Raw genomic sequence first — 12314 nt, forward strand, 5'->3', positions numbered from 1 at the left:
GCAAAACCAGGGAAACACCTGGCCATTTTAAATGCATGTGTTGGAGAGATAACTAGACTTACTGGCATTGGAACTACAAAGGCTGACATATCTACCAGCTTCCCATCTGATCCCACAAATCAGAACATGCTTCTTTAGAGCCAGAGGAAACTGCCTTTCCCAGGGATGAAACCTTAAAGATCCAGCAGAAAAGTTTGGGAAGTGTCTCTTGATCTAATTGGAACAAGGAATTGATTAAGCATCCAGAATCAAGAATGATGTTTCAGCTCTTCCCAGTAGATCAAAATCAATATTGAATATTTAAAAGGTATATAGATTTAAAAAGCCATTTCTTTATATACCTAAGTGTATAGGGAGAAATCAACTTTTATTTTTGTTGCCTTGGGAGAAACCAACTTGTGCTTTCCACTTGGCTATGCAGAATGAAAACCGTACAGGCTTTCAAAGGCCAGCTGAGGCTTCTCTGTATCTTCATTCATCATGCCTCTCAAAGCGTCAGACGGATCAGTCATAATTTGTGTTTTTCACACACATACACAAACATTTCTATTTTGGAGCGATTGGAGCGCTATACTGGAGCCATCTCTGTCTTAGTAGCCTCAGGTGCATACATTCCAGAAATTCTAAAAAGTCAGAGAAGACACATATCCCCAGTGCTGCCAAATCCAGTAAAACCGAAAGAGTTCAGGTTGCATGGTTTACGGACATCCCAGAGAAAGAATGTCCATTCAAGCCCACCAGGCTGAACTAGCCATCAGGTGAAATTAACTCCTGACTAAACTAAATTAAAAGGTGAAACTCAGGGAGGCCCAAGTAGACAGAGGTGCTGATCATTAGGGAGTTTGGCCACTAGAGTTTCTACTTTCGGCCCTGCTCAGGCTTCAGAAGATGCAGAGGTGAAAGTCTAGTTTAGCTAAGTGTAGCCGGCTGGACCAACAGGTCACTTTAAGTCATGTCTAACTGATCTCAGTGCTCCTGGAATGGCTTTACCTTGACATTTAAATTTCGGCTTCCATCACCAGTGAGATGGGGTTATGCTAAGTAATACAACTTTAAAATATTTTCTGAACAGTAAGGCAACCATTAAAACAAACAATTTCAGCGTTATAAAGTTATGTCTTTTAGGAGACATTAAAATGTTGCTGATACTGATGACAGTGAGGTAAAAAGCTGCAAGCCAAGGCTTTGAGGTGATAGGGCAGAGGCCCTGAAAGCAGCATGAGGCTGATAGATAAAGAAGGTAGTTGAAGCCAAGCTGAGAATAGCTTCAGAACCTAGAGGCACACATGGCTGGGGGCATTGCCTTTTACTTTGTTTTTCCTCCCAGGCTGTGGCTTTACCCCTTTCTCTTAAAATCCTGACAATACTTCCCAAGAAATGTGGTCTCTGACAGAGGCAACTCCTTTGGATGGGCCAAACGTGGCACCTAGCAGCAAAACATACTATTCAGAAAAGTCCTAAATGATCCCCTGCCTTGAAGCCTGGAATATAGTAGATGCTCAGTAAGTGCTGGCTGGCTTGAGACTCCCCTGTGTGTGAGCCCTCTCCACCCACCTTTCACTGCCCAAGTCATTTAAGATAGAGAAAATGGAGAACCACACTGCATCTAAAAATAGTTGGGGAGGGAATTACATGAATCCACTGTAAGTTAGCTTCAAAAATACTGTGCTTCCTAGGTGCTAGAATAGCCCATTTTTAGGGAGTCAAGAGCTGGATTCAGAGAAGGAGTAGCCAAGGGGCTCACCAAGTAAATAAAGGGTTTCTCTTGAGTTTTGGAGCATTCAGGCTTGAACAAGGGATTTTTTGGCCTGTGACCTAGTGCATAATTTGCAGTGGGGGTAATATCACCCCCAACACAGTGAAAAATTGTTCTAGGGGTAGATGAAAGTCTTACTCTTTTTTTTTTTTTCAGAAACCACATTTATTTTGGGGGGTTCATAGAGAATATTATACTCTCAAACAATACTTTATAAAAATTACTTAGTATGCTATATCTATTCTGTTTGTTACATTTTATATTTGTACTTTCTTTCCTAAGAAATATACTGCTGCTAATAATAGAAAGTGGAAGAAAAAAGGCATAAGCAGGCAGAAGTGGGGGGAAAAAACCCTGCAATCTTTGTGGCAATAAAACATTAGATTGCATTAAAATAACCTAAAACGTTAGATACTGGCCCCAGTGCCTGGGCGCAGAACTTTGTTGAAAGGGTATTCCAGTGGTAAGATGAAAATAAATCCTGTGTCATATATTTGCCCTATAGCAGAAGGAGGGTGGGGTTTAAGCTCAGGAATCACAGCCTAAAGCACAATAATTGTCTGGTTTCCTCAAAGGAGTTTGCAAGTTTCACATACCGGAAGTGTAGAAAGGCTGAAAGGAGAAGGTGGGGCAAGGGCATGAGAGTTTCTTTCAATGATACCAGTATAAACTGTACGTGTCTGAGCTAATATTAACTAGAAATTTGTCTACTACACTTCTTTTTTTTTTTTTTTTTTTTTTTGAGACAGAGTTTCTCTCTTATTTCCCAGGCTGGAGAGCAGTGGCGCGATCTCGGCTCACTGCAACCTCCGTTTCCCGGGTTCAAGAGATTCTCCTGCCTCAGCCTCCCGAGTAGCTGGGATTACAGGCATGCACCACCATGCCCAGCTAATTTTTTTTTTTTTTGTATTTTTAGTAGGGACAGAGTTTCGCCATGTTGGTCTGGCTGGTATTGAACTTCCAACCTCAGGTAATCCGCCTGCCTCGGCCTCCCAAAGTCCTGGGATTACAGGCGCGAGCCACTGCGCCCAGCCTACTATACTTCTTTTAAGTCTTTTTTTTTTTATTATTATACTTTAAGTTTTAGGGTACATGTGCACATTGTGCAGGTTAGTTACATATGTATACATGTGGCATGCTGGTGCGCTGCACCCACTAACTTGTCATCTAGCATTAGGTATCTCTCCCGATGCTATCCCTCCCCCCTACCCCCACCCCACAACAGTCCCCAAAGTGTGATATTCCCCTTCCTGTGTGCATGTGATCTCATTGTTCAATTCCCACCTGTAAGTGAGAATATGTGGTGTTTGGTTTTTTGTTCTTGCAATAGTTTACTGAGAATGATGATTTCCAATTTCATCCATGTCCCTACAAAGGACATGAACTCATCATTTTTTATGGCTGCATAGTATTCCATGGTGTATATGTGCCACATTTTCTTAATCCAGTCTATCATTGTTGGACATTTGAGTTGGTTCCAAGTCTTTGCTATTGTGAATAATGCCGCAATAAACATACATGTGCATGTGTCTTTATAGCAGCATGATTTATAGTCCTTTGGGTATATACCCAGTAATGGGATGGCTGGGTCAAATGGTATTTCTAGTTCTAGATCCCTGAGGAATCGCCACACTGACTTCCACATGGTTGAACTAGTTTACACTCCCACCAACAGTGTAAAAGTGTTCCTATTTCTCCACATCCTCTCCAGCACCTGTTGTTTCCTGACTTTTTAATGATTGCCATTCTAACTGGTGTGAGATGGTATCTCATTGTGGTTTTGATTTGCATTTCTCTGATGGCCAGTGATGACGAGCATTTTTTCATGTGTTTTTTGGCTGCATAAATGTCTTCTTTTGAGAAGTGTCTGTTCATGTCCTTTGCCCACTTTTTGATGGGGTTGTTTGTTTCTTTCTTGTAAATTTGTTTGAGTTCACTGTAGATTCTGGATATTAGCCCTTTGTCAGATGAGTAGGTTGCGAAAATTTTCTCCCATTTTGTAGGTTGCCTGTTCACTCTGATGGTAGTTTCTTTTGCTGTGCAGAAGCTCTTTAGTTTAATTAGATCCCATTTGTCAATTTTGGCTTTTGTTGCCATTGCTTTTGGTGTTTTAGACATGAAGTCCTTGCCCATGCCTATGTCCTGAATGGTAATGCCTAGGTTTTCTTCTAGGGTTTTTATGGTTTTAGATCTAACGTTTAAGTCTTTAATCCATCTTGAATTGATTTTTGTATAAGGTGTAAGGAAGGGATCCAGTTTCAGCTTTCTACATATGGCTAGCCAGTTTTCCCAGCACCATTTATTAAATAGGGAATCCTTTCCCCATTGCTTGTTTTTCTCAGGTTTGTCAAAGATCAGATAGTTGTAGATATGTGGCGTTATTTCTGAGGGCTCTGTTCTGTTCCATTGATCTATATCTCTGTTTTGGTACCAGTACCATGCTGTTTTGGTTACTGTAGCCTTGTAGTATAGTTTGAAGTCAGGTAGTGTGATGCCTCCAGCTTTGTTCTTTTGCTTAGGATTGACTTGGTGATGCGAGCTCTTTTTTGGTTCCATATGAACTTTAAAGTAGTTTTTTCCAATTCTGTGAAGAAAGTCACTGGTAGCTTGATGGGGATGGCATTGAATCTGTAAATTACCTTGGGCAGTATGGCCATTTTCACGATATTGATTCTTCCTACCCATGAGCATGGAAGGTTCTTCCATTTGTTTGTATCCTCTTTTATTTCCTTGAGCAGTGGTTTGTAGTTCTCCTTGAAGAGGTCCTTCACATCCCTTGTAAGTTGGATTCCTAGGTATTTTATTCTCTTTGAAGCAATTGTGAATGGGAGTTCACTCATGATTTGGCTCTCTGTTTGTCTGTTGTTGGTGTATAAGAATGCTTGTGATTTTTGTACATTGATTTTGTATCCTGAGACTTTGCTGAAGTTGCTTATCAGCTTAAGGAGATTTTGGGCTGAGACAATGGGGTTTTCTAGGTATACAATCATGTCGTCTGCAAACAGGGACAATTTGACTTCCTCTTTTCCTAATTGAATACCCTTTATTTCCTTCTCCTGCCTAATTGCCCTGGCCAGAACTTCCAACTTCCAACTCTTTTTTATATAAAACGTGCACATATGACATAAACAGCTATGTAGCATATCTTTGGCATTAAGGGAGAGGAATTAGAGGGGAAAAGGTCTAAAAAGGTTTCTAGGATGGGAGATAATGAAAAAAAAAAGTTGAGAAATATTAACCTGGTAGAAGAGATGATAGATTGATCCATTTCTAGAGCCTCAACAGAAGTGGCCTCAAGCATCCTCAGGGAAGACACTGTTTCTTAGAAGACTCTGCCAACTCATGCTTCTGTCTTTATCGCCCCTGCCTGCTGGCTCATCTTATACCAAATCAGTTTGGACTGAAATAACCAGGCAGGCCAAATAATTGATTTGGTGCATGTTTTTAATTTACTGATTTACTGAATTCCCTTTTCAGAAAATACCAGCTAACATTATTGAGTACTAATGACAGAAACGGCCGGTCCCATTGCTAAGTTCTCAGCATGGCTCCTCTCTTCTAATCCTCATGTCAGTTTTGTGAGGTGAATACTGTTAGCATCATCATTTCACAGGTGACAAAACTGACTCAGAGAGGTTAAGCAATGTGTGAAAGGCTTATCTGTCAATGAGAGGGGCCGGTGAGTGCTAAATCCAGGTTTACTTGACAGAAACCAGGCTTAATCATTGCACTTTGCCCCCAGGTAGTTGCAATGGGGTTCTGGGGAGTCCAGCAATGAAATCAGAGAATATGGGCATCAGGGGACCCCCCCTTCACCTGTCGGGAAAGTCATCCTCTGCAGGAGTGTGTCCTTGGTGATGGAGGACAATTCCCCTTTTCACTTTACCAGTGCCCCCTGGCCAAAGAGTACACTAAATAATCTCCGATTCCAAAAATGACTCACTGCTACTCCGCATAGGCGTAGTTGGCCAACTTCCCTAAATTTAAGTTGACTTTCTATCAGAGTTCACATTTCCACCAACTTTTCATTAAATTAATTATTCAAAACAATTCAGAGTTAGCGTTCTCGCAGCAACTGTAACTCTGCCATGACTAGATTAAGGCGTAAATTGAACAGCATGTTTTGCAATAAAGTTAATTTTATATTCACCAGAGAACTGAGTTATAGTTGCTGTGGGAACCATCATTTCGAATCTCTTGACTTTGGTGCATTTAAATTCTCAACCACAGCGTTGCACACAGTAGCATATTTTGCACGGACGTTTAATTTGCTTCACACCACGGCCTGGCTATCCTGAACTTGGAAGGCCTGTCAGAAATAAACATTGCAGCTTTCTAGCTTTCCCAGCCTTCTACTTATCCTATACCTATGACACTATACATAGAAACAGCCAAGAAACCAAAATGATTCCAATTTTATCTTGAAATTATCTGTTTGGGGGAAGTGAATTTCCTTAGAAGAACTGAGTCTCCGGCAATGTCAACTAAAGCAGGCAATGCCATTGCTTTTGTGTGCAGCCAGGATTCTCATCCAAGGATATTTTTGGTTCTGCGCTGTATTATTCAGTACACATGGGGTGACCTCTGAAAGCTCCAAGTCCTTGCATGTGCCATTAATCAAGCAGGCATGCACAGCCATACATCAGAACTTATTGGAGCTCCGGAAAAGCTAAGCAACATTTCCCAGAGCCACATAAAACCCGAGCATCCCTAAATCAAGACACATTGCAGGGCCTCTAAAAGGTACGTTCAGCAGAACCGGAATAGAACTCAGGCTAAATGCTGGTGGTATGGAATTGGGAACATGTACCAAGTAAAGACAGAGGCTTGTTTGGAAGGAATAGCAGAGGAAGATGAAACTCTGAGATGGTTAGAGATGCGAGCATTCCATCCACGAGGATTATCGATTTTTGTAGCTTTATTGGAAAAATCAGTCATGCTTTCTGCCTCCTGGGAATTGCTCTGCTGCAATTTGGGAGTGTGTACGTGTGGAAACTGCAGGTTAGCAGCTGAGTACCAGCTCCCATTCACTGTTCAATTATCCATTTAGCTAGAATGTGACTTAGCAGAAACAGACTGCTGTTTTGCATGTGTAAGATGTATTTGAAAGGAGGGATTTTTGTTTCTCTGTAAATGAGAGGATTTCCAAGGAGAAGCTCTTGCCTTCCTAAGGGCACACTCATTATGCAAAATTGAAGAGTGGCACCTAACAAAAGCATAGGCCAGATTGTTGGAATTCTGAATACCATTGTACAAGCTTTCAAGAAACAGAAGTCTCTTATTTCTCATACTGTGCCACACATGAATGTACCTCCTGATCAGAACTACTGCAAAATTTGTAGATAAAGACCCTGTAATGATCAGTGGCCTCCCCACCAAGTCCTTGATTAGCTAAAAACTGTTTAAAAGAAAGTTTCAGAGAGCAGGATATGTTCACGATAATTCAGGGTTCCCTGGGCCACGTGGATGGGATGGGTAAGTGATAGATGGCTTTAGATTCATGATAAAGGTGGGCAGGGGAAATACCATGCCAGTCAGAGCAAAGAAAAAAGAGTGAAGAAGCAGGGGAGAAACTGGAATGTTTTATTGCTTCTGTACAAGGTAAAAAGTGCCATAAAACAATATAAAATACGGGCTCCTCTATGAGGTCGTTTGACACTTACTGTTTTGTGACCGCATCTTCACAGGATTTAGACAGATTTTTGGTAAGGAATGTTTGACAGATTAATAAATAAATATAAATATATATGATAGATAGATAGATAGATAGATAGATAGATAGATAGATAGATAGATTGATAGATAGCACAAGCTTTTTAAGCATGTCTGAGTGTCCCATTCGGGTGGGTCAAGCTGGCCTATAGGGTTAAAGAGAACGCAAAGGAACTAAAAGACCAGGAGTAATAACCTGGGAGCATGCTTGGGTGGTTCAAAGAGACCCTATTGCCAAGAATTAGATGAAGCTGGCCGGATGAATGCAGCCTTAAGGTCTGGAGTCGCTGTGTTAAGAAAGGCGAGGCATTCATTTGCTGGAGCTGTTCATATGAGGTTGTCTGCCCTGACCTTGCAGATAGAGCTGCTGTGACTCAATGGTTCTCTCCGCGTCTCCACTCTCAGCCATGTCTGTCCTGATGCGGCACGATGCTCCCCTGTCACCCTTTCCCTTCATCTCCACATGTTATTTTTAGTATGAAAAAGCAACTTGGAGAGGAGGGCAGAATCCTCACAAAATCCAGCTTCAGCAACCTCATCTGCCTGCTAGTTCCAACCGAGGAGTCTGGTTTGCTGCATCAACAGGGGTAGTTGGTGGGGAGTGCTGTTTATAGACTGTATGTCTAATTGTCTGCTTTTGTGTCTCTAAAGCCTTCCCTTTCCGAGGCATGTTAGGAAAACAGAAACACATCTAGCATTAGCGGTGCCACATAGAGTCACAGAGCAGGACAAATTTGTGCCCTGCCCAAGCCTCCACCCTGGCTTACCCAGATGGTCCTGATGGGTCCCTGCTGGCCAGCCTTCTAGATTCTGTCCTGGCCCCATCCTCTCTCTGTTCCTCACCCAGCACAAAGGGAGCCTTTAAAAACTCATGTCAGATCAGGCCACTCCTCTGCTCAAAAGCTTCCAATGACTTCTTTTCACTCAGAATAAAAGCAATATCCGTACAGTGGACTATGAGGTCCTACCCCTCACTCACTCTGCTACAGCCACACGGGCCTCCTCTCTGTCCTTCCAACACCCCAAGCACTCTCATGCCTAGGGGCTTTGTACCTGCAGTTTCCTCTGCCTGTGCTACTATCTCCCAAATATTGGTATGATTTGTTTCCTCCCCTCCTTTAGGTTTTTTGCTCAAACAACTTATCATCAGGGGCTTCCCTGACCATCCTATATAAGACAGTCACCTCCATCACACACAACCCCCTTGTGGTCCCCTCCCCCTACATTTCCCTAAAGCAGTGATTACCATCTGACATACCATATTAATTTTTATTGTTTATTGTAGGTCTCCTCACTGTAGAATGTGAGATCTTTAAGAACAAGACTTTGTCTCTTTCATTGACTACTGTATGCCCCTTGTCTAGAAACTACCCGGTGCATAATAGGTGCTCGATAAATAATTATTGAATGAATGAAAGAATAAACTCATGAGTCTACAGCAGAAATCAGCATTTTCTAATCATTCAGTAAATGTTTGATGTGGGATTGGTATTTCTCCCTTGGAGGTCCATTTGTCCCCTGATTCGCACACACTGAACTCAAGGATTAGGGACAGGGCAGGAGACAGAAGCCAACACTCTTGACAGGGAGACCACCCCACCACTCAGGCAGGACGCCATGCGGGGGCTTCCCCAAGTAGGATCCTCATGGATCCTATTCTCAGCTTTAGAAATCCCATTTTGTTTCTGTTAACAGAGTGGATCAAGCTCTAGACTGACTCCGTCACACTACCCAAATTCCCATCCAAACCTGAAATGGCCATTCAGTAATTCACAGTGAGGAAATTCTACATCTCCTGCTCAGTGTATTCTCTCCCTAAAGGGAAATCTATATGGGAAATGAAGTTAAAAGCAGAAGATTTCTTGGGGAACAAGAAATCAAAGCAAGTAATATGATATTCTGAGTCTGCCTTCTCCCTGTACAGTCCTACCTGGCTAGGGGGGCGCAAAGTGCATGGGCTGAGAGTTGCACAGGCCTGGATTCACACCCTCCCTTTACCACTTGCAGTGATTATGACCCTGGGAAAGTTAATTAACTTCTCTGAGCTTCAGCTTTTTCAGCCACAAATGATGATAATAATATGTATTTCATACCATCCTTGAAGTGGCTCAGTGAAGTAACAAGGATGTGAATTGCTGAGCATGGACAAATGGCAGGTGCTGTTGCTTGCCTCCCCTCTGTCAAGCCGGACACTCTCACCCGTGAACTGACCCTGGCTCTCTCTTGCTCCACCACCTCCCTCTCCACATCCCAGGCAGACTACCCCTTTCTGTGGGCATGCTTTTCTGAGCCTGGTTGAGATTTCTATGCCCTGCGATCCTTGATAATGTCACCTCACACAACTCTTGCGTTTTAAGGGGAGTTCTATTGACAACTTGTCGCATGCATTATGTGCAGATCTTACTCACGTAACTCTCAGGAAATTACCTCATTTTTCTCATTTTCATTTACGTCTTTGGAGGGCACCTTTCTGGGGCTTTGCTGTATTGACTACACTGATCCTATTTTAAATAATAGCATTCAGTCCCTCCTCATAACCAATTCAAGTGCAAATCAAAGGCTTTCCTAAACCACGCACAGACCTTTCTGCCATCATTGGAGGACACTTTTAATAAAAACAACAACAATAATAACAGGTATCTGTTGTAGAATATTTATTATGTGCCATGCATCATGGATTCTCTCATTTAAATGTCAGCGACCCTCTGGGGTTCTATTGCTCTGGTTTTGCAAATGGAGAAACTAAGGAATTGAAGAGCTTATGATTTTTACCCAAGATCATGCAGCCAAAGGGTGAAGCCAAGGTTTGAACCCAGGCTGCCCAGATTCAGAGCCACTACCTTCACTATTCCAAGTACTGCCACATGGTGACTGAGGTGACCTGATGCAGTGGCCCCGGGCAGCAGCAGAATCTGTTGGAAGCCCTAACATACCAAAACAAGTGACTTGGTATAAAAGTCTGCACCCTCTTTCTTGCCCTTGGGGGCCTTCATCTCTGTCCCCACCTCTGCCTCTGGGACAGCCAATGAAAAGAGCCTAGTCCTCACTCCCTGTTTTCAATGATGACCAATGATTCCAGGCTGCCTCTTGGGGCACAAGATTTTCAGTGCAAAAACTTGGATCATCCAGGGCAAATTGGAAGGGTTGGTCACCCCAGTTGAGAACAGGAACTATAGAGCCATTGGCTGGTGTCAAATCCTGGCTCCACCATGAACCCACCCTGCTACTTTGGCCAAATTACTTAACTTTTCCATGCCTCCATTTCCTCACCTATAAAACAGGAATAATCGTTGTACCTACACCGTAGGGTTGTTGCGACAATTAAATGAGCTAATGCATGTAGGGGATCTAAAAGTGCCAGGCACAGAGAAATGTCCCTGTGAGGGGTTTGCTATTTTTGTGGCTATTCTATAAAAAGCTTTCTAAAATCCAGAATTTCATCCTGGGGCAGATTCTTTGCCTAGCTCTTTTGAGATCTATTAGAAACATTTAGTGATTTCCTTACATTTCCTGAAGTTACACTAGGAGCAACAACAACAACAACAAAATGGCAATTTATGGTTGACCTGATTTTACACTAGTTAAAAGAGAGCCGTCAACCCTGCAGAAGTAACAAGTCCGTGCCCACAGGCCTCCTCGGTGTTATTTGTATTTTTATGACCCTCCTGTGGCTATAAGGATGCTCAGTGGGTGTAGAAATTGGATGGTTAAAAATAACAAATAAGAAATCAAAGTCGTGCTTTGTCCCTATTTCCATACTGGTAGGTACCACATTCATTATTTGCTGGACAGCTGTGGGAATAAGCTGCACAAGGTACAACAACTTGATTCACCTCCAAAAACCAAATTAAACCACTGGACTCTCTTATTATTGTCATCCCTACCTTTGTGTAACACTTGTCACCCTCCTAAGCTACCAACATGCCTTCTCTTCTACTCGCTGGGTACCCTAGTCTGCCTCTTTCAGTCCAGAGGTATCTGCTTCTTACAAGTTGAAAGGCACAAACCCACATCCGCATTCATACACAGCCCCTGTCATCAGCTTGGTTTTGAACGCTGGGCTGCAACCAGCTGCTTCATTTGCTTAGAGAAGTGTCATCCTTCCAGAGGCTTGGGGTGTGGCCTGTGGGAAGCTTTTCCTTTTACCTGGCTGTTGAATCAAGAACACAGTGAAGCAGCAATGAAACAAAGCACAGTTTGTTTGTTTTTAATGTATTCATTCAACAGATATCTTTAATGCTCTAGGGTGGGAATTAGGAAAACAGCCATGAACAACTGAGCCAAAGCCTTTACACTTGAGGGGTTTGGAGGCTCCCAGGAAGATGGACATTGAACCGCTTGCTCTCATCATCCATTGCACATAGGAATCACCTGGGTAGCTTAAAAAAAAAGGAAAGAAACTGATGTCTGGGTCGCTTCCTCAGAGATTGTGATTTAATTGGGATGCAGTTTAACATGGGAATTTTTCAAGGCTCCCAGGTGATTTGAAAGTGCGGCCCAGTTAAGACCCGTTGCTTTAAACAAAGGGTTCATTAGAATTATGAGGAGTGCTACAGAGAAGGGGAAGGTGGTGCTATAAAAGCATGCAATGGAGCAGGAACCCTGAGCTGGAAGCCAGGAAAGCCATTCCTAAACAAGGGCCAGCTGAGCACAAGGTGAATGGCTTTAGCCAAAGTGGGTGCAGGGAGCGTAGTTCAGAGAGACACATCTGGAAAAGCCCACAAGAAGAATCCAGGCTACAGAGAACAGAGACAAATGTGACATGAGAAGAGAGAAATGGGCAGGGCCAGATAATGCAGGGCCTTTGAGGCCCTTTTAGGGGTTTGGGACTTAATCCGAAAGCAGA

The 12314-nt window shown here is 42.8% G+C and overlaps 1 protein-coding gene across 33 annotated transcripts in view, besides 1 other annotated feature; it reads left to right on the top strand.

Annotated features, from left to right (window-relative positions):
• The window catches only part of TENM2 (teneurin transmembrane protein 2), a 1285129-nt gene that overhangs the window by 1162340 nt on the left and 110475 nt on the right, over positions 1 to 12314 (top strand). The gene's annotated exons all lie outside the window — the stretch shown is intronic.
• Positions 9790 to 9999: an enhancer, noted in NCBI's record as "active region_23585". NCBI's record gives its function as "activates an Ori minimal core promoter by ATAC-STARR-seq in GM12878 lymphoblastoid cells {active_cell/tissue: GM12878}" and the evidence as "EXISTENCE:reporter gene assay evidence [ECO:0000049][PMID:35858748]".

The sequence above is a fragment of the Homo sapiens genome, chromosome 5 (assembly GCF_000001405.40).
Source record: "Homo sapiens chromosome 5, GRCh38.p14 Primary Assembly".
NCBI lineage: Eukaryota > Metazoa > Chordata > Mammalia > Primates > Hominidae > Homo > Homo sapiens.